The 27,984-nt window shown below is 51.3% G+C and overlaps 2 long non-coding RNA genes across 3 annotated transcripts in view, besides 1 other annotated feature; one reads left to right on the plus strand and one right to left on the minus strand.

The window, feature by feature from the left end:
• Nucleotides 1-27,984, plus strand: part of LINC01237 (long intergenic non-protein coding RNA 1237) — a 197,360-nt gene that overhangs the window by 130,859 nt on the left and 38,517 nt on the right. The window lies entirely within an intron of this gene.
• Nucleotides 21,061-21,564: an enhancer, noted in NCBI's record as "H3K4me1 hESC enhancer chr2:242975433-242975936 (GRCh37/hg19 assembly coordinates)". NCBI's record gives its function as "activates a minimal SCP1, AML or CMV promoter by ChIP-STARR-seq in naive H9 embryonic stem cells {active_cell/tissue: H9 hESC(naive)}" and the evidence as "EXISTENCE:reporter gene assay evidence [ECO:0000049][PMID:30033119]".
• Nucleotides 25,774-27,908, minus strand: LOC105373980 (uncharacterized). 2 transcript variants are annotated; one of them, XR_924086.3, is made up of 3 exons: nucleotides 27,850-27,908; nucleotides 26,827-26,972; nucleotides 25,774-26,652 (listed from the first exon to the last, which is right to left on the minus strand). It is a non-coding gene; the product is annotated as an uncharacterized LOC105373980 (long non-coding RNA). The 2 variants fall into 2 exon arrangements; XR_007088702.1 differs by lacking the exon at nucleotides 27,850-27,908 and having other exon boundaries at nucleotides 26,827-27,019.

Raw genomic sequence — 27,984 nt, forward strand, 5'->3', positions numbered from 1 at the left:
AAGAGAACTCGGCCTCTGCGAAGGGCTGTGCGGGGAGATGCGGTGGAGAGGAAGAGCCGCCGGGGTGTTGAGAAACGATGATTTCAAAAACTTCTGCTGAAAGTGAGGAATGCATAAGAAGTGGGTGGTTTTCAGTTCTGCTCTTCATGGCTCCCACACTGCTGGTTACGGCCCATTTCCATCTTTCTTTTTTATTTGTTTATTTATTTTTTTGAGACGGAGTCTCGCACTGTCGCCCAGGCTGGAGGGCAGGGGCGCGATCTCAGCTCACTGCAAGCTCGGCCTCCCGGGTTCAAGCCATTCTCCCGCCTCAGCCTCCCCAGTAGCCAGGGTTACAGGTGCCCGCCACCACGCCCGGCTAAGTTTTTGTATTTTTAGTAGAAACGGGGTTTCACCGTGTTAGCCGGGATGGACTTGATCCCTGACCTCGTGATCCGCCCGCCTCAGCCTCCCAAAGTGCTGAGATTAATAGGCATGAGCCACTGCGCCCGGCCCTTCCATTTCCATGTTTCTTACACTGAGCCCTTGGTGAAATATTTTTCATTTACGTAGCTTTCTCATCTAAATCATTCCAACTCTCCTGCCAACATTGCATTAGCGTGACCTTCCTCTTCTGAGATCGTCATGGAGCAGTAGAACCTTTTCTACCTAATTTTAACCTCAGAATCGCAGTGTTGGGGGGAGTTTTGGGGGGAGTGAAAAGCCGTCTTAGCCTCAGTCAGGCTCTGCTTCTAACACGTCTACAACATTCCCGTCAGTAGTTGGACTAAGATTGATTAAAGCAAAACAAACAGAACACCGTTTTGAAACAGGGATGACGGCTGCATGTCGGGGGAGCCTCCCTCACCGCCTCGGGCTGGGCCACGCAGACCCCGGCCAGGACTGCCCGACCTGGTCCCCGGGGCGATGGATGGAGAGAGGACTCTACACTGCTAGGTGAGTAGATCTCAGAGGCTCCACAGAGAAGGGGGAGCCGCGGCCTGTGCAGCGAGTGGAGTCTCAGGGATCCCGCCTGGAGCCTGCGGTGGGGTCGGGCAGGCCTGGGGGGTCTTCGTGGCCCAGCCCGAGGTGGCCGGGGAGGCTCTCCAGGGATGCAGCCATCGTCCCTGTTGCAGTGCAGTTTTCTGTTTGTTTTGATCAAATCCTGGACCAGCAACCGACAGGAGAGCATCTGGGGGTGCGCGTGGGACGTGCCTAGCCCCTGCCAGCCCGGGCAGACTCCGCACATCTGCAGGACACACTGCGTGTCGTTACAGGCAGCTGCAGGCCTCTCTGGGGGGCGTGGGGTGCCCTGCACCCCTCCATCCTTCTGCGGGGCTCCCCTCCTTCCATGCCCTGGGCTTCATGCCCCGTCAGGGGACACCCATGGGTCCCACCCAGAGCTCCGCCTTTCGCATCCCCAGAGACGGCTAGTGTCTTGCTCCTCTCGAACCCAGCAGTGCTGCGTCCTGCCTTCCAGCCCGCATGGAGCGGATGAGCTGAGACAAGGGGCCGGATGCGAATCACAGCTGAAAAGACCGCTCCGGCCTGGTGGGCAGGATGTCTGCACTTTCACAAGACTTTTCAGCCACCTTGAAAAGGGATCCTGAGAATATTAGATCCTATTGCAGGGTTACGGGTGGGAAATTGTTTTAGGAACTCCCGATTCCCTGATTCTCAGAAAGTCAAGCTGAACCTCCTGCCGACAGGAAAGTTTGTGCGCAGCTGAGCTTGGCGAGGCTGCCAGGCCCCGCGTTCCAGAGAGAGGCAGGTCAGGGCCTGGCTGCCCTGCAGCTGCCCCAGAAAATCCGCAATGGAAATTTGCCTCTCAGTACTGAGGACATTGCTCTCACATGCGGTGAGTTTGTTTTCTGAAGAATCCATCCACTTTATCTGAGTGTTGAGTTCATGTGTGTGGAGTTGTCATGTTATTCCCTGTTTATCCTTTAGTGCCTGCAGTGTCTGCAGCAATGACCCATCTTTCTTTTCCAATGTTGGTAAACTGTGTCTCCCTCCCCTCCTTTTTTTATTCAATGGTAGTGTTAGAAGTTCATCAATTTTATTCAAATTTATTCAAAGAATTGGGTTTGGTGTCATTCATTTCTCTATTGTATTTTAAAATAATTTTGTTGTTTTTGATCTTACCTTTATTATTTCCCTACTCCTGCTTGGTTTTGATTCTTTTTGGTTTCCTTTTTCTACCTTTTAAAAAGTGGAAACCTACATTATTGAGAACTTTCTATCTTTTTAGTATAATCTCTATTAATAGAACAGTGTTACCATTCCTGACTGTGGACTTTTGTCCATTTCTATTTTGGGTTTTTAAAATTTTTGTTTCAAGTGTTTTAGAGTTCTGGCACTTGGTGAATTCACGTGTAGGACTGTTGTTTTCTTGACCCTTTTGTCATTATTTATTTCTTCTCTTTATCCCTGGTGATTTTGTTTGCTGCAAAGCCTACTTTGCCTGATACTAACGTGGCTTATCCTGCTGTCTTCGATGAGGGTTTGCATGGTGTTTGCTTCACTTTTCATCTTTTGATTTTCATTCTATCTCTATCATTCTATTTGGGGTGATTTAATTTTACACAGTGCATCGCTGTCCAGGAAATAAAATGTACATCGTTAACTTTTCACACTTTGCCTGGAACCCATATTTGCTAGTTGGAATTTGTGAATCCATCTTCATGTAGGTCTCCTTCACCTGCCCCTCCGGTGACAGGAGAGTTATGAGCTAGGTCTGCTCACTGAGTCTCCACGAGAAAATATTCTCATTTAAAACATTCCTTTCTCATGTTTTTCTCTGTTGTTAAGATTGGATAATTTCCATTTAGCTATATTCAAATCCACAGACTCTTTGTTCCATTCTGATATTTCTTTACCTTCTGCTGTAAGTCCCATCCAGTGAGGATCTTTCTTTTAATATTGCCCCTCCATTCTAAGATGTCCATTTGTTTTGTATTTACATCTTCTAGTTCCTTCGTGAGATTTTCTCTGTTCCCATTGGATTCAAGAGTGTTTGTGACTATGGGCGGAGTGATTTTCATGTTTCTGTCAGCAGATCACACAGCTCAGTCATCTTAGCATGGGCATGGGCTGGCTGGCTCCTGTGTGAGTTATTTTCCTGGTTCTTCATATCCTAGTAAGGTTGAATTGCATTCTGGACACCATGAATATTATGTTAGGAGACTCTGCATCTTATTTCATTCCAGTGAAGAATGTTGATTTAGTGTTTGTTTTAGTGAGCATTAACCTGATTAAATTCAGGCTGCAAGTTTCAATAACATTTTGTGGTCTAGGCTTCCACAGCCAGTTCCTTTCTGAAAGCCTTCAGTACTGTTTGCAACTGCCCTGAGTGTGCACCGCCAGGGTCTAGGCTGAGGTCTGTTCATGAGCTCAAATACATGTGAGCAACTCAGGGCAGCCCAGGAGGCCACACGCCACTTACCAAGACTCTCCCTCTCTCGAATCTCCCTCAAATGTCCTCTCTCCCTGGGACCCCTCATTTTTGTTCTTGAGCTAGAAAGCCGGGGATTTAGTTACCTCCTGAGCTGTGCACTCCCACAGCTGAGCCAGGCCTGGGCCAAGTGCTGGGCAGACGGAGGGAGAAAGAAGCAGTGGGTCTGGCCCCATCTTGCTGGAGCCCCACATGGAGAGGAGGTTCCCCTGTGGGGCTGGGTCCTGCCCTCTGCCATTGTTGGCACAGTTGCTGCCACAGACCCAGGTGATTGCCGAGGGCAGGGGGCAGAGGGAAGGGTGTGGGGAGGGTGGGGTGTCTGCCCTTCCCCTTAAGTCCTCTCTCTGTGGCCCCAAGCTCAGACTGTGTGGTCCTTCCTGGAGTGTCCTGCACGTGGCCCCTGAGCGCTTTTGGACCCTGCTGCCTCAATGCGGGCAGGGGATGCAGGAGGGAGGCAGGAGGGGACGCAGGTGCACCCTCTGCCTGGTCACTGCTTCTTGTGTTCTGCACCATTGTTCTTTCCGGAGTCTGTGGTCAGGGACTACCTGGGAGAAGCAGGTGGCATGTCTCCCCTCCTCAACCAGGAATAGAAGCTCCCTGAGCAGGGCCTTCGCAGTGAGGACTCCATAGGGCTCTGGCCGCAGACCTGCCTCAGCTTGCTTGTATGTTCGGTCCTAATGCTCAGGAACGAAACTCGCTTGGATATTTATGCAAACTTTTGTCCCTAGAGTCGTGCAGCTTCAACCACTGCGTACTTTTCATGGAGTCCTTGTTCACATGCATTAGTTTCCTTTTCTAATATTTATACTTTCATGGTACATTAAAATTTGTTCTGTAATGTTTCTATCCCCTAAAAATGTCTTTAAAAAATGAAATTAGATACATATAAAATACCGACGCTTCTTCAGTTATGTCTTAGCCCGTCCGCGTGATCACGAGCTGGGATGGGTCAGCTCATGCGGTGCTGAGGAACCACATGGCTTAAGAGTTGTGACGATCTTCAGGACTTTGTTATGTGGAAGATGGTTTCTGTTTCTACTTTGAATATGAATGTACATTGGTAGGAACAGGACGGGAATGCCACCTCGTGGCATGTCACTATGTGTTAAGAATTCTAAGATGTATGGTCCCGTGAAGAACTTCCAAAGGGATGGCTCACTGACTGACGGTTCCTGACCGCGTTTCACTGCTTCAGGGATGGTTCTGCTGCATTGGTCTTTCCTCGTGGATGATGGCCAGGATTTCACCCCAGTGCAACGTACTGAAGCCCCACTCCTCTGACTTCAGAGCTGTCCAGGGTCCAGCCAATGAGGCAGCTGCCAAGAGGTACCACATACAGGTTGAAAGCACCTTTTTTCAAGGAACTTACAGGACAGCTCCGGGAACTGAGGCCTACACAACAATGGAGAATTCAGGCTTTGTTTCACTTTCTTAAAAAAGAAGTCCAATTAGATGTATGAGTATGACCATGACCATGCATAAATATAACTAATTTCTGAAAGTGCTGCATACGTGAGTGCTGGTTCTCGGGTGCCAGTACAACGCCACGTGTGTGAGGCTGTCAACACTAGGAAGAAGAAAGACACTCCCAAAATACAAGTCAGAACAGGGGCAAGCGCTGGAGGAGACCAGTGAAAGGCCACCCGCCACCCCCAGAGCCTGGTAGAAAGCAGCTCGCCCAGGAGGGGTGGCCGGGTTCTGTGCCAGCTTCCCGGGGCTACTTAACAGTGCTCCAGAGACTGGGGCTTCAACAACAGAAACCTATTGTCTCACAGTTCTGGAGGCCAGAAGTCTCTGAGATCAAGGTTAGCCGGAGGTGGTGGCAGGTGCCTGTAGTTCCAGGTACTCAGGAGGCTGAGGCAGGAGAATCGCTTGAACCTGGGAGGTGGTGGAGGTTGCAGTGAGCCGAGATCACACCACTGCACTCCAGCCTGGGCAACAGAGTGAGAATCCGTCCACAAAAAAAAAAAAAAAAAAAAAAAAAAAGGAGGTTCCAAGTACTATGAAGAAAAATAAAGCAGACTGGACTTGGTGGCTTATGCCTGTCATCCCAACACTTTGGGAGGCTGAGGTGGGAGGATTGCTTGAGACCAGCCAGGGCAACGTGGCAAAATCCTGTCTCCAAAAAAAAAAAAAAAAGTTTAGCTGGGTGTGGTGGCATGTGCCTGTAGTCCCAGCCACTGGGGAGGCTGAGGAGGAAGGATTGCTGGATCCCAGAAGGTGAAGGTTGAAGTGAGCCAAGATTACACCATTGCACTCCAGCCTGGGTGACAGAGCCAGACCCTGTCTCAGAAAAAAAAGAAAGAGAAGAAAAAAAAGAAGAAAGAAAGAAAAAAGAAAGAAAGAAAGAAAGAAAGAGAAAGCAAGCAAGCAGAGATGGGGGCATGCAGGGGAGGTGCTGGGGACGCAGGGGAGGGGCTGGGGACGCAGGGGAGGGGCTGGGGACGCAGGGGAGGGGCTGGGGATGCAAGCTTCCCTGAGCTTCCACAGTTCTCTGCTCCTCTCCTGTCTCATGGGGCGTGGGACACCTGGGGCTTGCGGTTGTTTTGCGCCAAGCTAATATCTTGTTCTTCCCAACAGACGGAGGCCGATTGAGGCTTCTCTGTCCTCCACGGGGACCAGCATTGGCCTAAACCTGCAGACACCATTGCAAAGTCAGCTCAGGTGAACCCACTGGCAAAGGATTCCAGCGTGGAGACACAGAGGTTGACATTTCTTGCCGTGGGTGATTTAATGTTGGGCCTCAATTTTTCACTTCCCCCGCAAGAGTATGACACAGCCCCAGCCTTCCTAGGGCCCGAGGGAGGGTGGATGGACTTATCCATCCCATAGGTGCTGCTCGAGACTGGGTGACTTGCTTCTGCCAATGAGATTTTCACAGACATGGCACAAGCAGAAGCCTGGAATGTGTGGGCACTGCCAGGCCTGCCCTCTAAGGCTCTTGATTTTCCCCACGAGATGTGCGAGCCCCAGGGGAGGGTGGCTCTGGCTGTGGGATGAGAGGCGTGTGGAGCAGGCATGGTTCCCATCCTCAGCCTGGAGTCAAGGCCAGACTAGATCAGCCTGAGCCCAGCCACGCCACGGGTGCAGGAGTGAAGAGCAAATGCCAACGGTCCATGACAGTGACTTTCAAAGGGGCATGTCGTGTGCCTCATCCCAGCAACAGGGAAGGCATTTCTCTATCAGTCAGTTGGTAAATGATTATTGACAATGTGTGGGAAGGTGGAGTGATTTGAGTAGATCTGGCCTCTACTCTCATGGAGCTTCCTTTCTAGAGGGAAAGGCAGATGTTGGATGGATAAATATAAATGATTCTAATAGGTTGGTGCAGCAGTCATGAAAAGTAATGGCAAAAAAAGAAACGGGGAGGAGCCGCTGCTGCGGTTCATTAATAGTAACGGCAAAAACCGCGATGACTTCTGCACCAACCTAACCCGGTAACCACGGGTGTGTGAATGTGGCGATGGGCAAGTTCCGAGAGCTAGGAGAGCATCTAGCTTCCTGGGAAGTTCCGAGTGGTAGGAGAGCATCTAGCTTCCTGGGAAGTTCCGAGTGGTAGGAGAGCATCTAGCTTCCCGGAGTCAGGAGACGGGGGTTGGCAACCTGACCAAGGCTAAGTCCAAGGGAGGGGGGTGGGCGGGGAGCGATATGTCAGTGGAGACTCCAAGGATGAATGGTATTTAGAGAGTAAACCCCAGTGGTGAGAGGGGGTGTGTGGCTGGCACAGAGAAGAGCCTGTGCAAAGGCCGGCGGGGCGAGAGGACACCGGGTGCTCTTCCACCTGAGGGGCGACCAGCAGGCTGGAGCTGAGCGAGCTGAGGATGCGGAGCCCGGGAAAGGCACCCCAGGCAGACGGCACAGCAGGGGAAAGGCTGGAGTCAGGCCTGAGCCTGTGTGGTTTGAAGAACTGACAGAGGCCTGTCCGGCAGAGGGGAGAGACCTTAGGCCAGAGTAGAGGGCAGGGCCGTGTTGGGCACTGTGGGCTTTGGATGGTGCTGGCATTTAAGAGGGGGGACCATAGACCAGGGCAGAGGGGAGAGGAGGACCTGGCTGGGCACCAGAGTGGAGACCATAGACCAGGGCAGAGGGGAGGGGAGGGCCGGGCTGGGCACCAGAGTGGAGACCATAGACCAGGGCAGAGGGCAGGGCCATGAGGGCACTGTGGGCTGTGGATGGAGCTGGCATTTAAGAGGGGAGACCATAGACCAGGGCAGAGGGCAGGGCCGTGCTGGGCACTGTGGGCTGTGGATGGGAGCTGCCATTTATGCTCGGGTGATGGGAATGTGTTAAAAGATTTTAAGGAGGGGAGTAACAGTTGGGATTAATGTGTATTCTGGGAATCTCAACAAAGTAAATTCATAGTTTGAATTTTCATAAGCCTTCTGCACAGGCAGAGAGAAATAAGATCGTGTCTACAGCTGTGTGATGATTATATTAAAAATATTACTAAGTTTTTAAACGTCATTTCAAATGGTGTGTTTCTATCTCACATTGGACAAAAGTAGATTGCAAGGTTAATGGAAAGTAGAAAAGTTAACTCATGAACGTAAGAGACATCGATTTGAAAACAAAACATTTATTCATTTACTTCTGCTGCAGTTTTCTTGACTGCTGAATTTCATGAGAAGGGATTGTTCAGGGAGGGTTGTGGGGCGGAAGACTTGGACGGCAGCTAGTGATTCCGCTGTTCAAACCTGAGGGTGGTGGAGCTGGAGCCTTGGGGAGGGGCCGATGCTGCCTTTTAAGTCTGAGAGTCGTTGAGCTGGACGTCCACGGAGGAGCTGGTGCTGCCACTGATGTCTTAGATTGTGGAGCTGAAGGCAATGAAGGAGCTGATGTGGCTGTTCCTCTGTGAGGGTCGTGGAGCTGGAGATCCAGGGGGAGAGGTGTCCTAGTTTGAGGTTCCTGCAGCTGCAGACCCAGAGAGGAGCTGGTGTTTCTTTTGTTTGAGGGTCGCACAGCTGTAGAACCCGGGAGGAGCTGGCGTTTTTCTAGTATTAGTGTCCTGCCACTGGAGAGGAGCTGATGTTCCAGGAAGCTGATGTTCCAGTTAGAGGGCCGTGCAGCTGGAGACCCGGCGGGGGAGCTGATGTTCCAGGAAGCTGATGTTCCAGTTTGAGGGCCGTGTAGCTGGAGGCGCGGTGGGGAGCTGATGTTCCAGTTAGAGGGCCGTGCAGCTGAAGACGCAGGGGGGAGCTGATGTTCCAGTTTGAGGGCCGTGCAGCTGGAGACCCGCGGGGGGAGCTGATGTTCCAATTTGAGGGCCGTGCAGCTGGAGACCCTGGGGAGAGCTGATGTTCTAGTTTGAGGGTCCTGCAGCTGGAGACCCGGGGGAGAGCTGATGTTCCAGTTTGAGGGCTGGGGAGCTGATGTTCCAGTTTGAGAGCCGGGAAGCTGATGATCCAGTTTGAGGGCCGTGAAGCTGGAGACCCTGGGAGGAGCTGATGTTCTAGTTTGAGGGTCATGCAGCTGGAGACCCTAGGGAGAGCTGATGTTCCCGTTTGAGGATTGGGGATCTGATGTTCCAGTTTGAGGGCTGGGGAGCTGATGATCCAGTTTGAGGGTCATGCAGCTGGAGACCCTGGGGAGGAGCTGATGTTCTAGTTTGAGGGTCATGCAGCTGGAGACCCTGAGGGGGAGCTGATGTTCCAGTTTGAGGGCCGTGCAGCTGGAGACCCTCGGGGGAGCTGATGTTCCTGTTTGAGGGCTGGGAAGCTGATGATCTGGTTTGAGGGCCGTGCAGCTGGAGACCCTCAGGGGAGCTGATGTTCCAGTTTGAGGGTCATGCAGCTGGAGACCCTGGGAGGAGCCGATATTCCAGTTTGAGGGCCGTGCAGCTGGAGACCCTGGGAGGAGCTGATGTTCTAGTTTGAGGGTCATGCAGCTGGAGACCCTAGGGAGAGCTGATGTTCCCGTTTGAGGATTGGGGATCTGATGTTCCAGTTTGAGGGCTGGGGAGCTGATGATCCAGTTTGAGGGTCATGCAGCTGGAGACCCTGGGGAGGAGCTGATGTTCTAGTTTGAGGGTCATGCAGCTGGAGACCCTGGGAGGAGCCGATATTCCAGTTTGAGGGCCGTGCAGCTGGAGACCCTGGGAGGAGCTGATGTTCTAGTTTGAGGGTCATGCAGCTGGAGACCCTAGGGAGAGCTGATGTTCCCGTTTGAGGATTGGGGATCTGATGTTCCAGTTTGAGGGCTGGGGAGCTGATGATCCAGTTTGAGGGTCATGCAGCTGGAGACCCTGGGGAGGAGCTGATGTTCTAGTTTGAGGGTCATGCAGCTGGAGACCCTAGGGAGAGCTGATGTTCCCGTTTGAGGGCTGGGGAGCTGATGATCCAGTTTGAGGGTCATGCAGCTGGATACCCTGGGGAGGAGCTGATGTTCTAGTTTGAGGGTCATGCAGCTGGAGACCCTCGGGGGAGCTGATGTTCCAGTTTGAGGGCTGGGGAGCTGATGTTCCAGTTTGAGGGCTGGGAGGCTGATGATCCAGTTTGAGGGCCGTGCAGCTGGAGACCCGGGGGGAGCTGATGTTCCAGTTTGAGGGTCATGCAGCTGGAGACCCTGGGGGGAGCTGATATTCCAGTTTGAGGGTTGGGGAGCTGATGTTCCAGTTTGAGGGCCAGGAAGCTGATGATCCAGTATGAGGGCAGTGCAGCTGGAGACCGGCGGGGAGCTGATGTTGCAGCTTGAGGGCCATGCAGCTGGAGACCCTGGGGGGAGTTGATGTTCCGGTTTGAGGGTCGTGCAGCTGGAGACCCGGGGTGGGAGCTGATGTTGCCGTTTGAGGGCCTTGCAGCTGGAGACCTGGAGGGAGCTGATGTTCTAGTTTGGGGGTCATGCAGCTGGAGACCCTGGGGGGAGCTGATGTTCCAGTTTGAGGGCTGGGGAGCTGATGTTCCAGTTTGAGGGCCGTGCAGCTGGAGACCCGGGGGGAGCTGATGTTTCGGTTTTAGGGCTGTGAAGCTGGAGACCCGGGGGGAGCTGATGTTTCGGTTTTAGGGCTGTGAAGCTGGAGACCCTGGGGGGAGCTGATGATCCAGTTTGAGGGCCTTCCAGCTGGAGACCCAGCAGGGAGCTGATGTTCCAGTTTGAGGGCCTTGCAGCTGGAGACTCTGGGGGGAGCTGATGTTCTAGTTTGAGGGTCATGCAGCTGGAGACCTCGGGGGAGCTGATGTTCCAGTTAGAGGGCCAGGAATCTGATGTTCCAGTTTGAGGGCCGTGCAGCTGGAGACCTGGGGGGGAGCTGATATTGCAGTTAGAGGGTGGTGCAGCTGGAGACCTGGGGGGGGAGCTGATGTGACAGTTTCCGGGTCATGCAGCTGGATATCCCAGGGGGAGCAGGTGTTTTTTAATTGGAGGGTCATGCTGTAGAACCTGGGAGGAGCTTGCCTCTTTCTTGTATGAGTGTCATACAGCTGGAGACCCGGAGTGGGGCTGATGTTCTAGTTTGCGAGTTGTGCAGCTGGAGACCCGGGGAGGAGCTGATGTTCCTGTTTGAGGGTCATGCAGCTGGAGACCCGGGGAGGAGCTGATGTTGTAGTTTGAGGGTTTTGCAACTGGAGACCTGGAGAGGAGCTGATGTTGTTCTAGTTTGAGGCTCCTGCATCTGGAGACTCAGGTAGCAGCTCATGTTTTCTGATCAAAAGGTCCTGGAGCTGGAGACACAGGGAGGAGCTGGTGCTGCTCTTGTTTAAGTCTGAGGGTCGTGGAGCTGGAGACCCGGGGATAAGCTGATGTTCTAGTTTGAGGCTCCTGAAGCTGGAGACCCAGGTAGGAGTTCATGTTTTTCTGATCAGAGGGTCATGGAGCTGGAGACATGGGGAGGAGCTGATGTTTTCCTAGTTTGAGGGTCGTGTCGCTGGAAACCCGGGGAGGAGCTGCTGGTGTTCTAGTTTGTGGGTTGTGGAGCCGGAGATCCGGGGAGGAGCTGGTGTTTTTCTCATGTGAGGTTTGTGGAGCTGGATACCCAGGGGAGGAGCTAGTGTTTTTCTAGTTTGAGGGTCGTGCAGCTGACCCTCAAATGACCTCAAACTAGAAAAACACTGACCCCCAAGGGTGTCCAGCTCCACGACCCTCAAACTAGAAAAACACCAGCTCCTCCCTGGGTGTCCAGCTCCACGACGCTCAAACTAGAAAAACACCAGCTCCTCCCTGGGTGTCCAGCTCCATGACGCTCAAACTAGAAAAACACCAGCTCCTCCCTGGGTGTCCAGCTCCACGATGCTCAAACTAGATTAAAATCAGCTCCTTCCCGGGTGTCCAGCTGCACGACCATCAAACTAGAAAAACCTGGGGAGTTTTTTTTTAGTTTGCTGCTGTTTTTCTAGTTTGAGGGTCATGTAGTTGGAGACCTGAGGAGGAGCTGATGTTCCAGATTGAGGGTCGTGGAGCTGGAGACCAGGGGAGGAGCTGGTGTTTTTTCTAGTTGGAGGATTGTGCAGCTGGAGACCCAGGGAGAAGCTGATGTTGTTTCAATTTGAGAGCCGTGGAGCTGGAGACCCGGAGAGGAGCTGATGGTGTTCTAGTTTGACAGTTGTAGAGCTGGAGACCCAGGGAGGAGCTGTTGTCTTTATAGTTTGAGTGTCATGCAGCTGGAGACCCTGGGAGGAGCTGATGTTCTAGTCTGAGAGTCGTGCAGCTGGAGACCCTGGGAGGAGCTGATGTTCTAGTCTGAGAGTCGTGCAGCTGGAGACCCTGGGAGGAGCTGATGTTCTAGTCTGAGAGTCGTGCGGCTGGAGACCCTGGGAGGAGCTGATGTTCTAGTCTGAGAGTCGTGCGGCTGGAGACCCTGGGAGGAGCTGATGTTCTAGTTTGACAGTCGTGCAGCTGGAGATCCAGGGAGGAGGTTGTCCTGTGGTTCAAATCTGAGGGTCCTGGAGCTGGAATCTATGGGAGAAGTTAGAGACCTGCAGAGGAGCCGGTGTTGGTGTTTCTAGTTGAGGGTCGTGGATCTGGAGATACAGCATGGAGTGGTGTTGTTCTAGTTGAGGGTCATGGAGCTAGAGACCCGGAGAGGAGCTGCTGTGTTTCTAGTTGAGGGTCATGGAGCTGGAGACCAGGGGAGGAACTGGTGTCTTTCTAGTTGAGGGTCGTGGATCTGGAGATACAGCATGGAGCGGTGTTGTTCTAGTTGAGGGTCGTGGAGCTGGAGACCCAGGGAGGAGCTGGCGTGTTTCTAGTTGAGGGTCGTGGAGCTGGAGACCTGGGGAGGAGCTGGTGTGTTTCTAGTTGAGGGTCGTGGTGCTGGAGACCCGGGGAGGAGCTGCTGTGTTTCTAGTTGAGGGTTGTTGTGGTGGAGACCCAGGAAGGAGCTGATGTTCCAGTTGAGGGTCGTGGAGCTGGAAACCCAGGGAGGAGCTGGTTCTTCTGTTGTTTAAGTCTGAAGATCGTCGAGTTGGAGATCCAGGGAAGAGCCAGTGCTGCGGTTCAAGTCTGAGGGTCTTGGAGCTTGAGCCCCCAGGAGGAGCCGGTGCTGCCACTAATGTCTTAGGTTGTAAAGCTGGAGACCCGCGGAGGAGCTGGTGTTGCTGTTCTAGTGGGAGGCTTGTGGAGCTGGAGACTGAGGGAGGAGCTGGTGTGTTTCTAGTTGGAGGGTCGTGCGGTTGGAGACCCGGGGAGGAGCTGATGTTTTCCTAGCTTGAGGGTCGTGGAGATATAGACCCACGGATGAGCTGGTGCTGCTGTTGTTTAAGTCTGAGGGTCATGGAGCTGGAGATCTGGGGAACAGCTGGTGCTGCGGTTCAAGTCTGAGGGTCTCAGAGCTGGAGCCCCCTGGGAGGAGTAGGTACTGCCACTGATGTCTTAGGTTTTGGAGCTGGAGACCTGTGGAGAAGCCAGGCTGGTGTTCTAGTTTGAGGTTTGTGGAGCTGGAATCCTGGTCAGGAGCCAGTGATGCTGTTTAAGTCTGAAGTTCATGGAGCTAAACGTGGAGCTGATGTTGGGGAAGTAGAGAGAGAGAGTTTCAGGACGCCGTGGAAACTGTACATGTAGCTGAATCCCAAGCAAGTTAAGCCTGGGAGCTTCTCAGTCCTCGGGATTAATGCATTCCTTTTTCTCTTACACAGTTTGGATTTGTTTTCTGTCTCATGAGACAGAAAGACCCTGATTAATACCCTCAGGAATTGAAAAGCTTAAAAAAACTAAATGATATTGGAATAATAATAATAGAAATTAAACTATGATTATCCTGACTGACAGAATCACACACCACACACAATATATATTTTCAATCAGTTAGTAAAATAATATATAAATTGAAACATAGACCCATGAAGAGCTGTAAAAAGTTATTTCATGGAGAAGTGATGGATGACAGAGATTAATCTGAGAGTTACTGTTAATGGAGAAACTTAGAACTTACCATTTTTCCTGTGAGGTTTCGGTGCTAATACTGATACTCTGTGAGTTCTGGCAGCTGAATCCATTCACATAGGCTGGTGATGCAGCAGGTGTCACAGAAGGACCCTGTCCCAGCTGGTCCTGCTCCACTGCTAGGATGGTGTGGCCTCTGATCTCTGACTGTGTCTTGAGGGGAGACCAGGCCCTTGATCACAAGCGTATCCATGGTGAGGTTCCGTGGATGGAACCTCATGGATGTTCCCTTCCTGATGTTCATTGGCCATCTTGCTATTTAATGCATCTTGTTAATAACTGTCTTCTAAACATTGAATAGAAATAAAGTATTTGTACAATATGGGTAAGGTATAAAGAATATTGACACATTGGACACAGAGGACCTCCACCAGGTTTAGGGAATAGAATCTGAAGAGACATAACTTTGGATGCTCCCTGGAGGCCCTGCCTGAGTCCCAGTCCCTTCTCTTCTCCTACAGAGGGAACCACTTCCTGCTTTAGTCTTTATTATTCCCACACTTTTCTTCATAGTACGTTTCTTTCACCGCGTATGTGTACATCCCTAAACAATAAGCCATTTAGTTTTTGAACTTTGTTTTCTTTTTGAGGCAGGGTCTTGCTCTGTTGCCTTGGCTGTAGTTTTGAACTTTGATGTGAGGAAATTCTCCTGCGTGGCTGCTCCTGCACTGCATGGCTCTGAGCATCTGCTCTATGTCTATTTCTGTCCTCCATTCTCTCCTTGAGACCCACCCACACTGACATGGTTCATTTTCATTGCTGCGTGATCTCCTGTCTCCATTCTCTCCCTGAGACCCACCCACACTGACATGGTCCATTTTCATTGCTGCATGGTCTCTCGTTGTCTGAGGGGAGCATGGGAAATGTCTTCATCTTCCCGTGGATGAGTGTTTGGCCAGGTTGGGGCCCTGAGGACTGCGTTTTGCTGGGAACATTCTTGGGCATTTCTTTTGTCCACAAGTGCAGGTTGCTTCTGGTCAGTAGCTTTCAAGTTTTAAAATTTCATCCCAGGTAAAAAATGTAATTTTCCTCATAACCCACAACACACATCCTTTCATATACAAGCATAACAAAAATATACTTCACAACCATTCTTAGCAGTGCCTGGTGTTCCTGCTTCTCTCCATTCTCCCCAACAGCTGCATGGATTGGGTGGTGGGATTTTTGCCCATCTGGTGGGTGTCACGTGATATCTCCCCGTTAGGCTGAGCCCCTCTTCATGTTTTCATTAGTCATTCCTCCACATTTCCTCTTTTGTGGAGGGCCGGTTCAGCTCTTTTGCCCAGTTTCTGTTAAGTTGTTTGAATTTTTGCACTTTTCTTTTATTATTCCTATTGTTATGTGTTTGAGACACAGTCTCACTCTGTTGCCCAGGCTGGAGTACAGTGGCACAATCTCAGCTCACTGCAGCCTCCACCTTCTGGGTTCAAGTGATTTTCCTGCCTTAGCCTCCTGAGTAGCTGGGATTACAGGCGCCCACCACCACGCCTAGCTAATTTTTATATTTTTACTAGAGATGGGGTTTCACCATGTTGTCCAGGCTGGTCTCAAACTCCTGACCTCAGGTGATCCTCCCATCTCAGCCTCCCAAAGTGCTGGGATTACAGGCATGAGCCACCATGCCCGGCCTGCATTTTTCTTTTTCAAGAGGACTCTTTATAGATTATGCGTGCTCATTCTGGTGACTATGTGTGTGGCAAAGATGGGTTTGAATCCACCAGGATGAACGTGCAGGATATCCTCTCTGGTGGGAGAAGAGACAGAGAGGTGTAGACGGGTACAGAGAATCAGACCCGAGAGGAGGCCGAGTCAGGCGGGGGTTGCAGGCTGCTGTGAGGACTTGGCTCCTTCTCTGAGGCGGGTGGGATTAGCAGGGGATTTAAACGGAGGAACTGTGGGATCTCCCTTATGCATTTCTGCCATGGTTGGCTCAGCTGAACGCACCTCTTGAACAAGACTTGGCCTTGGACACCCAGAGGCCCTTGGTTGAGGGTTTACCTCCTGACATGGCCACTGACACATCCACGTTTGGCTCCCACAGGGCTGGGCGGCCCCAAGACCTGCTCTGCCTGGGCCTTTCATTGGTGGCATTTCTCAAGTTTGTCCCCTCTCAAGTCTGCTCCCTCTGGAAAACCAAACACCTCTCTCTCCCACATGGAAACCCCCATCAGCACCTCCCCCAACTCACAAGGCATCCCGTCAACATCACAGTCCCGACCTTCCCACACGGACAAGCTCACGGGACCCCCCGATGGACCAGGACAGCGTGAGCACTAAGACATGCCCTGAGACTCACAGGAAGAGCGGACCAAGAAGACGGGAACAGCACGGGGCCCTGGGAGCTGCAAATGCCCACGATACCGTGAGAGATGGAGAAAGGTATGACAGGAGGAGCAGACCAAGAAGACGGGAACAGCACGGGGCACTGGGAGCTGCAAATGCCCACGATACTGTGAGAGACGGAGAAAGGTATGACAGGAGGAGCAGACCAAGAAGACGGGAGCAGCACGGGGCACTGGGAGCTGCAAATGCCCACGATACCGTGAGAGACGGAGAAAGGTATGACAGGAGGAGCAGACCAAGAAGACAGGAGCAGCACGGGGCACTGGGAGCTGCAAACGCCCATGATACTGTGAGAGACGGAGAAAGGTATGGCCATGGCGGACACAAAATGTTACTCAACATTTATCACAGGCCTAAATGGAGAACATAACGCTATCAAACCCTTAGACAAAAACACAGGGGAAAATTCGTACGGCCTGGGGTTAGGCGAAAAGTTCTTAGACATGACACCAAAAGCATGATTCATAAAAGATTGACAAATTAAACTTAATCATACATTTAAAATTATAATTCTATAAAGCAATATAAAAATCCAAAGAGAATGAAACACAAACTATGGTCTAGAAATAAACATTTGTGAATCACACGTCTCACAGCCTACTGGCACGCAGGATATGTGAAGAACCATCAAAACTTAACCATAAGAAAGTAAAAGCCCCAGTATTAAAGAGAGGGCCAATATTGGAACGGAGGCCTCATCAAAGAAGGTATAAGGAGGGCATATTGCCCGAGAAAGAGGCTCAACGTCATAGAGATGCTGGAGAAATGCCAATCAACAGAACCTCTGCAAATCTATTAAAAGGGCTAAAAACAGACAAAAACCACAGGCCGACCCAGGTTCTAATGATGATGCAAAGGAACTGGGACCCTCATAAGCTGCATGGGAATGGGAGGGGCCCCACCATGCTGGAAAGTGGTCCAGGAGTTTCTTATTAAGTTAAGCACATCCTTACCACGTCACCCAGCAACCCCACTCCTGAAATTTCCCCCAAGAGAAAACTTAAATGTGCACACACAAACCTGCACACAAGTGTTTAGGCCTCATTCCTCATTGCCAATAACTGGAAGAAAACAAAATGTCCACCGGCAGGAGAAGGTGTGAACCAACGCGGATGCTTCCACATAGGGAGCACCAACCTGCAGTGGAAAGAAGCACCCACAATGCCCCAGGTCTCCCAGGCCACATGCCCGGTGAAGGAAGCTAGTTTCGGTGGGCACAGGCCGAAGGATGCCACCACGTGACATCTTAGAGAAGACAGTGTACCGTGTCGGGGAGCAGGGCAGTGGTTTCGAGAGGCTACGGGTGGAGGGGCGAATGGAGGAGCTCTCTGGGGAGATGGCGTGAGCACCTGAACCTCACTGTGGGCTGCTGCAGTTGAGAGGCTGTACAGCACACACTGGCTTCAGTACACACAGACTGAAGGAGGAAGGCTCCCACAACTCAAAGACAGAGGGTGTCACCTCCATGAAACAAAAACATATTAAAAAAAACTCCTAAAATTAAGAAAAAAACACAACAAGTATTTTATAAGCGCGTTGGACTTTGAGTTGACATAATCGACCTGGGAGCGTGGAACTGAAACCACAGGCTTGGCAATCCCGGAGGGAGAGAGTGGAGGGTTTAGACCTCAATTGAAGGGCTCAGTACCTGGCTATAGGAAATAACAGATTTAAAAAGCGGCAGGGAGGAAATAATTTCTGCTGATGAGGCTGCATTTCTCCAGATAGCCAGCAGAGTAAATTAAAGCAATATAGTAAAACAATGCACATCTTGACGGAAACTCACGATCACAAGGTTGTGGTGAAGGAGATTTGAAGATGTCCAGGAAAGAAAGACAAATGAGATGCATGTTGCAGCTGCCCTTCAAGGGGGGTGTGGGCCAGGTAGCCGTGATTCTCCGTGACGTTGCAGGAATTCTCCTGGCTGGGTCCTCAGGAGCCGTTTCTTCTTGTCCACACTCACCTCCGGGGGCTGGTATGGGTCCCTGGTGGTCATGACTGCACTCAGGGCCAGGGGCCTGCTGAGGCTGCTCTCCCTGTTCCCGAAACACAGGGGTTTGGTCCAGATCCCGCTGCTCACCACACAGAAAGCCTGTCACTGAGACGACGCTTACTGCCAATGAGGAAGGCATGCATCAGGAGCTGCAGGCCTGGAGATGGGAGGTCAGCTTCAAATCCATCTTCCTGACTGACTGTATAGCAGGGAAGAAGTGTGACTGTGTGTAAGGAAAACAGGAATTAGGGAGAGTGAGGAAGAGGAGTTGGTCAGGAGGAGGCAGGTGGCTGGTCAGGCACTCATGATGGGTGAGGGGTTTGGCATCTCACTGTCCAGATGCCGTGATCTGGTGAGTCTCTCTTCCTTCACACTACCCGGGAGGCCTGATGGTCAGTTTCCTGAGAAAGGAACTCAAGACAAATGTCAAGTTCTCAAGTTTCAAGACCACAAGGATCCATTTCTATGTTATTCAGAGAAACCATGAACATCAGTTCTATGGGACAATCGGGCCAGTTCAACACCAGATCTGATCTGCCATGACACCTGCTGCTCGGCCCTCAGATAAAGCCCAGAGTCCAGTGTCCTCTCCCCGACCCCAGCCTGGCCCCACACCCACACCCCCCCACTTCACCCTGGGCCTCAGTGCTCTCCCACTGCAGAGGGGTCAGGGAGCTGCACACGCCCCGCGTGCACCTGGGCACGTGGTGTATTTCAGATGCACCTGGTGTCACTGTTCGCACAAACCCAAGTGGGAAGAGATCCAAATTCTCGTTCACCACAGATGGATGAGGACGTCCCAGCAAGTCCCTCAGTGGAGTCAGCCAGCACAAGGCGAGTGAGGGACCTCCGGAGACATGAATGGGTCTCAGACAGTGTGTGAGTGGATGAAGCAGGAAAAACACATGCTGCTAGTTAATTCATTTATGTTGAGCTCAAAATAGTCCACATCAGAAAGACTGTTTGGGGCTGCAGGAATTCCGTGGACAATTGCAAACAAGGCAAGGGAAGGAGGACCAGAGAGGTGAGGAGGACGCTCCCTTCGGGGACGGAGAGAGTAAGACCTGGCATTGCACACGGGACGGGGGGCCTGTCGAGGCACCTCTTTGCTTCTGAGAGTCTGTTTTCATGGACAGTCTTCTACAAAATGTACATGGCAGCTTTTTAGGGCCAGGGTCACCGGGATTTGTCTTTACACCTCCCCAGCCCGGGAACCACCACCTCTACCAGCCCCGTCCACACAGTTGAATCTCATCTTAAGTTCTCTGGAGCCCGACCCCCCACGCACACCCTCCTGGTCTGGGCGTCTCACCTGCATCCGCACAAGTGCCTCAGGAGGGTGGAGTGTCTGGTGCTCGGCACTGGAGGCTCAGCCCACACTGAGCCGGACAGTCGCAGGCCTCCTGGATGAATGAAGCATGAACGAATCCCGATCCTGTTACCACAGCTTCTCCCCAAGCATCCCCAGCAGAACGTTGTGTAAAAACCACACCAGGATTCGTACATGCCAGAGGACTGAACTTCTGCGTGTTGAAGATAATTCATCTTCCTGAATCACTGCCGATCTGCCATGTGGTTAACCACGGAATAAACATGGGGGAGAGTGTAAGCACCGCCCTAACAACCTCACGCTTCTTCCGTTACCCTTTAAAATTACAGGGTACTGACTTCATAATTGTGTTTCTCTTGTAAATGAGACTCTCATGGAAAAATCAGCTATGTAGGTGACAGCTTTGTAAACCTTTAGATTGAAATGTCACTTCGATTATTTCAAGTGTAAAAGTGTTTCAGCTTTTTTGAGGTATAATTGATACTCAGAGAGCTGCACACATTTCATGTGTACACTTTGGTGAGGATTGACCTGAGCAAACACCTGTGAAACCATCACCAAATCAAAGCAATCGAGGAATTCTGCACCTCCTGGAGGCTTCCTTGCGCCTGTGCCCGTGGTGAGGACACAGCACGAGATCTTCCCTCTCAGCCAGTCGCAAACAGCCAATAAGAAAATCACACCAGGCCTCCTGGTGAACACACACCTGTAATTTAATTGTTGATCTTTTAACCTGGCATTCACATTCTTCATTGAGAATACGGCAAAGACTTTAGAAGTCATCTAAAGTATCAGTAATTTGAAGTCCTTTAATACAAAAAGTATAGAATATTACCTTTCGTCACATAGCAATAGGGAAATGAAAAAAGAAAATTGACTTATTTTCTTTACTGGCTAGGAAAATATTCTTAAAAAGATACGTGCAGGTGAATCTAACAAATAACAAATTTATTTCTTTACGTAGATAAATATAAGGTTAGATCCGTGTAAATAAATGAAGCCATTAATGGTAGAGTCCCACAGATCACAGAACTGACCCCGCATCCAGCTCTGCTCACGATTTCAGGGAGTCATTTCCAGGCGCAGGTTGAGCTGGAGAAGCTGGGGAACCTTGTAGCCCCACTGTCCTTCCTGCCTCATAGGGCCTCTGAGGGGTGCCTGGAACATCTCTCCTCTTGGTCTTTGAAGATCATTTCACTTATGCAACATTTTCCAGGTGCCATGGACCCGAGCCCAGAAACCATGGTACCAGAACAACCCGAGAGCTGGGGTCACCCGAGAGAGGGCAGAGGGTAGACAGTGGCTCCCCAGGAGTGAGCCGAGACCCAGGGTCACCCGAGAGAGGGCAGAGGGTAGACGGTGGCTCCCCAGGAGTGAGCTGAGAGCAGGGGTCACCCCCAGGAGTGAGCTGAGAGCCGGGGTCACCCAAGAGAGGGCAGAGGGTAGACAGCGGCTCCCCAAGAGTGAGCCGAGAGCCGGGGTCACCCCCAGGAGTGAGCTGAGAGCCGGGGTCACCCGAGAGAGGACAGAGGGTAGACAGTGGCTCCCCAGGAGTGAGCACCAGGCACTGTCAGGGGTTCTCTCCCCAGCACATTTACAAGGGACTCGATGGGTTCTTCTTCCTTCAGGAGCAATCCCAGTGGGCAGAAGGAGGGGATGGGAGGCCTGGCAAACGCTCCTCCCCAGTTCCATTCCAAGCTCCACGGGGCTCCGGCAGGCCCCATGTCATGTGCAGATGAGGGATTAGGGTTCCTGCCTAGCCTCGCTGCTCTCAGGCCCTCATGGGCTCCTCTCCCCACCCCCCATGCAGCCGGCAGACCCTGCTCCCACCCAGCTGTTCTCAGTGTTTCTCATCCTTCCTGGATGACGCCCTACCTGGGGCACCCATTCCTGTGGCACCCCAGCCCTTCACTGCAGCACGCATCCTGTCACCTCCACAGTGAGACCATCCTGGAACCATGATCAGCCCATCAGTTTCATCCACCCTCCTCCTAGCCCATTTTCTGTGCTTATTTATTGTTCCCCAAACTCCTGCCTATGATTTAAAACTAAGTGTGAGTCTAGTCTGTTACAATGATATGGATTCCAGATCTTCGGAATCAAAATGCTCCAAGGTTTAACTCACAAACTTGTCTTCTTTATTTTGCATTTTATGTGAATGCCTTTGGTAATACCATCATCGGTTGCGCCGATGGAGGGAGCAAAGATCTCATGGTGTTGGTTAAAGGGAGTGTGGCCCAGGGCCTGAGGTCTGAGAAGGAGCTTATTCCTCGGCGAGGTGGAAATAACACAGACTGCAAAGCCCACCTTGGGGGCACCACAGAGGAGAAAGCAACCACATTACTGAGAGGCCACAGAATAACTGAGCTCGTTTAGGGGTGAGAACGAGGCTGCATCTCTGCCCTTTCCCTCTCCCCTGCCCTCGTTCTCTCTCTCTCTCTTTTTCTCTTTCTTCCTTTCATCTGGGTCTAACTGGGCTCATTTGTCTTCAGCATCCCTAGGAAACTTCATGAAACCAGTGTTATTATGGTCAATTTGCAGTTTAAAAATTCAGTGCAGAAAGGTTAAACAAATTGCTCAAGTTTGCCCAGCCAATATCTGGCAGAGTCAACGGCACTGGAATTCAGATGTGGCTACATGTTTTGTGGTCTTTCTATTCTTTCTGATACATAAAGTTTTCATTTAACGAGACTTATAATGCATAACACGGTTTTGAAAGGTGAAGACAAAGTGAGGTGCACACTAAGGGGCAGCCTCCCCTGCAGGAGTGAGGTGTGAGCGCTCCCGGGAGCCGGCAGCCAGCAGCAGGCTGGGCCTGAGGACAGAGCCTGTGATTCCATCCATGATTTACCAGTGCTTTCAGCTTTGAACACGCGTTAAATAAATAGAGCTGTTTTCAAAATTAAATGAACAATACATTCTTTTCAGCATTTCCACCTAATTGCAATTCCTTTTTCTTTTATTCATGAATTCAATAGTCTATGCTTTTTGAAAACTGATATTCCCTGTAATGAAGCCCTGTGGTTTCACTGAGTGTTGGGTTTGAAATGTTGTAAAATACATGTAACACTCATCCCATTCAAAAGGTGTAGAAATGGATTACTAAGGGGTACTCAGGGGAGTTTTGCTTGAAAGCTGAGGCAAAATCATAGTTGATGCAGGTGAAAATATTTAATTTAATAACCTTTAATGAATAATTCAGTTTTCAGGTTACATGAAAGCGACACCTTTATTTGCATTACACATCTCTGCCCCCAGTCATGTCAATGTGTCTTTCCTGAATGCAGTTTTAGGATAAGGACAATCCTTGGAAATCCACCTTCCAGAAGGTTCCACTGTTGCGGCTTTGGGATCAGGAAAGGGGATTTGCAGGAAGGGACAATTGAGAGGGCTTCTCCCTGCTATGGAGACACACAGCTGTCTGTACTTCACGGGACCCCCTCCTTCAGATCCAGAAGACACTGAAAAGAAACGCAGGGCTTTGAACCTGGGCTGGGGCTCCCGGGGCTGGGCGGCTGCTGCCTCTCGCTGAGGGAATCCACACTCTCGAGGCAGCACCTCGCAGAGCAGGTCACCTCGACTGCCCCATGATGTCCACGAGGCTTGTTCCTGTCTTACTACGATCGAGAAGACAGCATGTGATTTTATGAACACCCCGTAAAGAAAACCTGAAAACCGTGTTCAAAGAAATGCCATTGAGCAAAAGGGCAGCTGTGGACCTGGCAGGTGGGGCCTGCGGTGCCTGAGGTCACGGCCAGCAGCCCCGGGAACGGCTCCGTCTCAAGGACATCTTAAGGCCAGTAGGGGCATTTGGGACGGCAGAGGCCTCACCCTGAAAGTGGTGGTTTCCACAGCTGGACACGTCCACAGGACCTCAGAGGGGAGGGTCAGAGCTGAGAGCTGAGATCCAAGCCGCGGTGTGGGTGAAGAAGGAGCGGGCAGGGATCGCTCTCCGGGAGAGGCCTGGATCTGGGCCTGAGCAGAGCCGCTGCGGACCAGACACAAGTGGCCACGGCAGCCAAACCAGATTCCCGGATCCCGGCCGACGGCCTTGGAATCCGGGTCACAGAGCCTTTCTCACGCGGTTTTCATTTTGCCTGGCATGGATCGAGTTTCTTAGTCTACAAACGTACAAGGGCTCACTTCAAGGCCACAATCCATCAACACAGCCAGCCAGGCTCATGCTCTCAGTCAATTTTCTTACTTTAAAAACCTATTTTACCTCAGCCTGCAGTCCCTGAGATGGATGGGTGTGAGCAGAGCTGTGAGGAAAGCAGCCCCTACTTGTGAGAAACACCTGCGCCTCACTGGGCAGACTGCAGGTGCGACCCACGCAGCCTGCAGGTGGGAGGCGGGACCGGGCTGGCTCAGAGGTCGGGCATGGAAAGCCATGGCCGAGGCTGACATCCACTCACTCCCCCCACAGTCCTCTCAGCTGGACAGCAACACACACCCACACTCTCATGCCAGTTTGCACACACAGCCATGATCATTGCACACACACGCACACACAGGCTGCTGCACAAGTCACACCTACTCATTCACACTCATGCACACTTACATGATAGATGCAAAATCCTTGTGTTCCAGGGGAGGATGTGAGGACGCAGGGGTGTGTGGCTGTCCATCCCACCGTGAGGGTGCAGGTGTGTCTGTACTCCTCCGTGCTGGGTCCTGGGGTGTGTGTGCAGGTGTGTCTGTCTCCACCTCTGCACCAGGTCCTGGGGTGAGTGTGTGGCTGTCTGTCCCACCGTGAGTGTGCAGGTGTGTCTGTACTCCTCCACACCAGGTCCTGGGGTGAGCATGCAGCTGCCCGTCCCGCCGTGCGTGTGCAGGTGTGTCTGTCTCTCCTCTGCACTGGGCCCTCACTCTGCTGCTCCCCCATTTTGTGGCTGGGAAAATTGTGATATCTGTGATTTTTCTCATCAGTCACAGCTGGAACTTGCACGACTCTGTCTCACACCCATTCACACAGCCGTGAGGACATCGATGTGCAGCCTTGACCTCCTGCAGCACATTCATCAGGCTCCCGTCGCCGCTGGGCCATTGTCAGGGCCTGGTTGCCCACCTGGCTGAAGCCTCCCCGTCATCACACCCCTCACCGGAGCAGCCCCAACTCACAGGCTGTTAGTTGTCACCATCAAGCACACCAGAAATTTTAAAATGATTTCTCTAAGCCAGGCACAGAAAGGCAAACATTGCTCTCTCTCTCTCACTAATTTGTCAGATTTAAAAATTGAAACAATTGAACTCATGGACATGGGGTGGGGAAGGACGGTTGCCAGAGGCTGGAAGGGGTAGCGGGGCTGGGAGAGGTGGGATGGTTAATGGGTGCAAAAATAGAAAAATGAGTAAGACCTGGTGTTCGATAGCACAACAGGGGGGCTACAGTCAGTAAGAACTTGACTGTGCATTTTAAAATAACTTAGGGAGTGTAGTTGGGTTGTTTGTAACTCAGTGGATAAGTGCTTGAGGGGACAGACGCCCCGTTTTCTGTGATGTGCTTACTTCACACTGCATGCCTGTATCCAAACATCTCACATACCCCATAAATTCATACACCTATGTGGCCACAAAATTTAAAAAAATCATTTATCTAAGGATAAAAGTGAAGTTCCCCTCGTTTCATGCAGCTTCTCTTCAGTGCTTTTGTTTTTCGAGATGAACCTTCCTCACTGGTATTGTTGGCACCAGGAGTCTGTTCGGGACAAGCTCCCGCCATTTCTCACCACTCCCAACTTCGGGGGAGTCTCTCTAAACACACGTGTTTTGTGGTATTCGGCTGACATTCTGACTACTGTAAGAAATCAATGCATGACATACAAATTCACACAATTTTGGGGAGGGAGAGACTGCAGGTTATGCTTTCAAAAATTTTCATGATTTTAGATTGTTTTTTCTTTTTAGAAGTTTTCTTTTTACGTGAGATATTTGACTCAAGCATTGTTAAAAATGCAACAACATCATAAAAGTTTGGTGGTTCAAAAAATAATGATGACACAAAACTCTAGTGCCTCTACACTTGGACAGTTTTAATTTTTTAATTTGGTAAATCTGGTTACAGAAGCCAAGTGATTTTTCAGGCACACCAAGTTTTCAGCGCTTGGCAGGAAGTAGAAATGAACATGTCTAGAATTTTCCACCATGCAGACCTTCAGAGCATGTGTGCCTATGTCTCTATGTGTATGTATACACATATGTGCAGACGTGTTTTTGTGTGTGTATGAATGTGTATCATGTGTGTACATGTGTGTTATTCATGGATTGCTTTTGCTAAGCAACAGATAATGTAGTGATTCCAAAGGAGTTTCAAGCTCATCTTTATTCTTTTTTTATTTTGCTGAGTAAAAAGTACAGCTGTAGCGGAACGTCCTCCTTAACTCACTGTGCGAGACGGATGTCACACGGATGACTATAAAACGTAGCATGCATGACGTATGCAATTTATAGAAAGAAAACCAGATGGAAATAAAAGAAGAATAAAATTGGCATAAATGACCCCAAATCACACCTGAAACACACTCTGTGGCCACTGATGGCTTCGGGCGCTCTGCGTTCGGGAGGCCTGGAAAGTCCCAGCTGCGAACATCTCCGCGGCCCCGTGACTCGGTTCACCGCATTGCTCAGACATCCACACCTCCCGTTACTTTACCTTAAGCCTTGACTTATTTTTCACCTTTTAAAGTTAAGATCCGTGATCAGTGAGTGCCACTCTGTGGGGAGTCACGTGTTTGAGATGGGAATTTCCACAGGCAGCTGAGAGAAGAGGATGGAGTGGGTGTCCCTCCGAATGCTGGTGTCTGATGCCTCAGTGAAGGCGAAAGGGTTGATCCTGAGAGGAGAAGAATGAGCTCATTTGTGGAAGAAATGATAACTGCTGACCACAATACAGGCCTTCAGGAGTGGTGCTGAGTCCAGGGAGCATGTATTAAATGCCATTTATGTGGCAAGCACAAAGCTAAGGACTGTCCAGTCTGTGGAGAGTAAATCTCCTTCCTGCCTTGCAGGCTGACAAAGTCCAATCATTAGTGACCATTCATGCCAGGAAGGTGGAGCTGCCTCCCCAGATGCAAACAAATCCTGTGGCTTTTCCCTGGTAGCCTCGGTGGTGGGTCCCGGTGGGGAAACAGTGACAGATGAGGGTGATTCCCAGGGGTCCTGCGAGAGGCCATGGTCGGAGGGCTGGAAGGAGGCGGGAAAGGTGCTGGTTCATTCACAGCTCCAGGTGGGCTGGAGGCATCCAGGCGGGACTGTGCCTGGGAACACAGGTGCCACCCACGGGGAGCTGCTGTTCTAGAGACGGCCATGGGCACCTCTGGGAACCCAGGAGACCCAGTGACCCACAGCTTTTATCACCTGGCTTCACAGATGGGATCTGGGACTTGGCAGTTAAACCGCTTAGGGAGGTCCCATGACTGCCAGGTGGGAGGGCTGGATTCGAATCCCAGAGGGAGGTCGCCTCCCCTTCCGCCATCGTATCCCCGACTCACTGCCTCTCCACCCTGGAGATGGGGAGAGGGAAGAGCTTCGGAGACCAGGGTGGGTGGGTGTGTCCCTTCACCCCGGGGACTGAGGCCTCCCTCCTCCCCGTGACATGTGACCCCCAGGGCCTGCAGGTGCCCAGACAGCCCAAGCTCACGGCACCCTACAGGGAAGCCTTTGATCAGGTATGGAAATCAGGGCTGAGAGTCGATATCCTAAATCAACCTTTAATTTCCAGAAGTGCTTTAAGGCCCACTTGAAAAGGGAAGGAAAAGGCAAAAGTTTATGGTGGGGGTGGGGAGTCCCGTTGGCCACAGCCTGGCCACTGTCACCACTTCAGATGGTCACTGTGGCACTGGGACCAGTGCTTTTGAAGGACAGACACACTGGCTGGAGCTTTGGAGACTGACAACCTTGACCCCTGCCAGGCGTCCTAATTACAGCCTGGAGGCGCTGGGACAATGCACTCCCAGCTCTTGTTTGTTTGTTTGTTTTGAGACAGAGTCTCACTCTGTCGCCCAGGCTGGAGTGCAGTGGTGCAATCTCACTGCAACCTCCACCTTCCAGGTTCAAGCAATTCTCCTGCCTTAGCCTACAGAGTAGCTAGGACTGCAGGTGGGTGTCACCACACCCAGCTAATTTTTGCCTCGGCCTCCCAAAGTGCTGAGATTACAGGTGTGAGCCACCGTGCCCGGCTAAACTCCCAGCTCTAATTCCGGTTTCTCTCTGGAGTTTTGTTCTCCTCAGTTGTTGACTCAGCAAAGATGAATCCAACCTTTTAGAGAATAAAAGTCAATGGGGTTCATTCCACCAGCCAACTGAAGCAGAGAGGGTGCGAACGAGGAACATCCCACACAGAAAATTGAGACCCACAGAGGACAGAGGGGCCCCAGACACCTGGGGCCGCTGAGTCTGCAGAAAGTGAATCCAGCCTGCAGGGCTGAGGCTGCTCAGATGTAGCAAAACTTGAAACGCCACTGTTGAGTTTTCTTCCCGGGGAGGATGGACCCAAGAGGCCGTTCCCCACTTGGA

This window comes from Homo sapiens, chromosome 2, assembly GCF_000001405.40.
Source record: "Homo sapiens chromosome 2, GRCh38.p14 Primary Assembly".
NCBI lineage: Eukaryota > Metazoa > Chordata > Mammalia > Primates > Hominidae > Homo > Homo sapiens.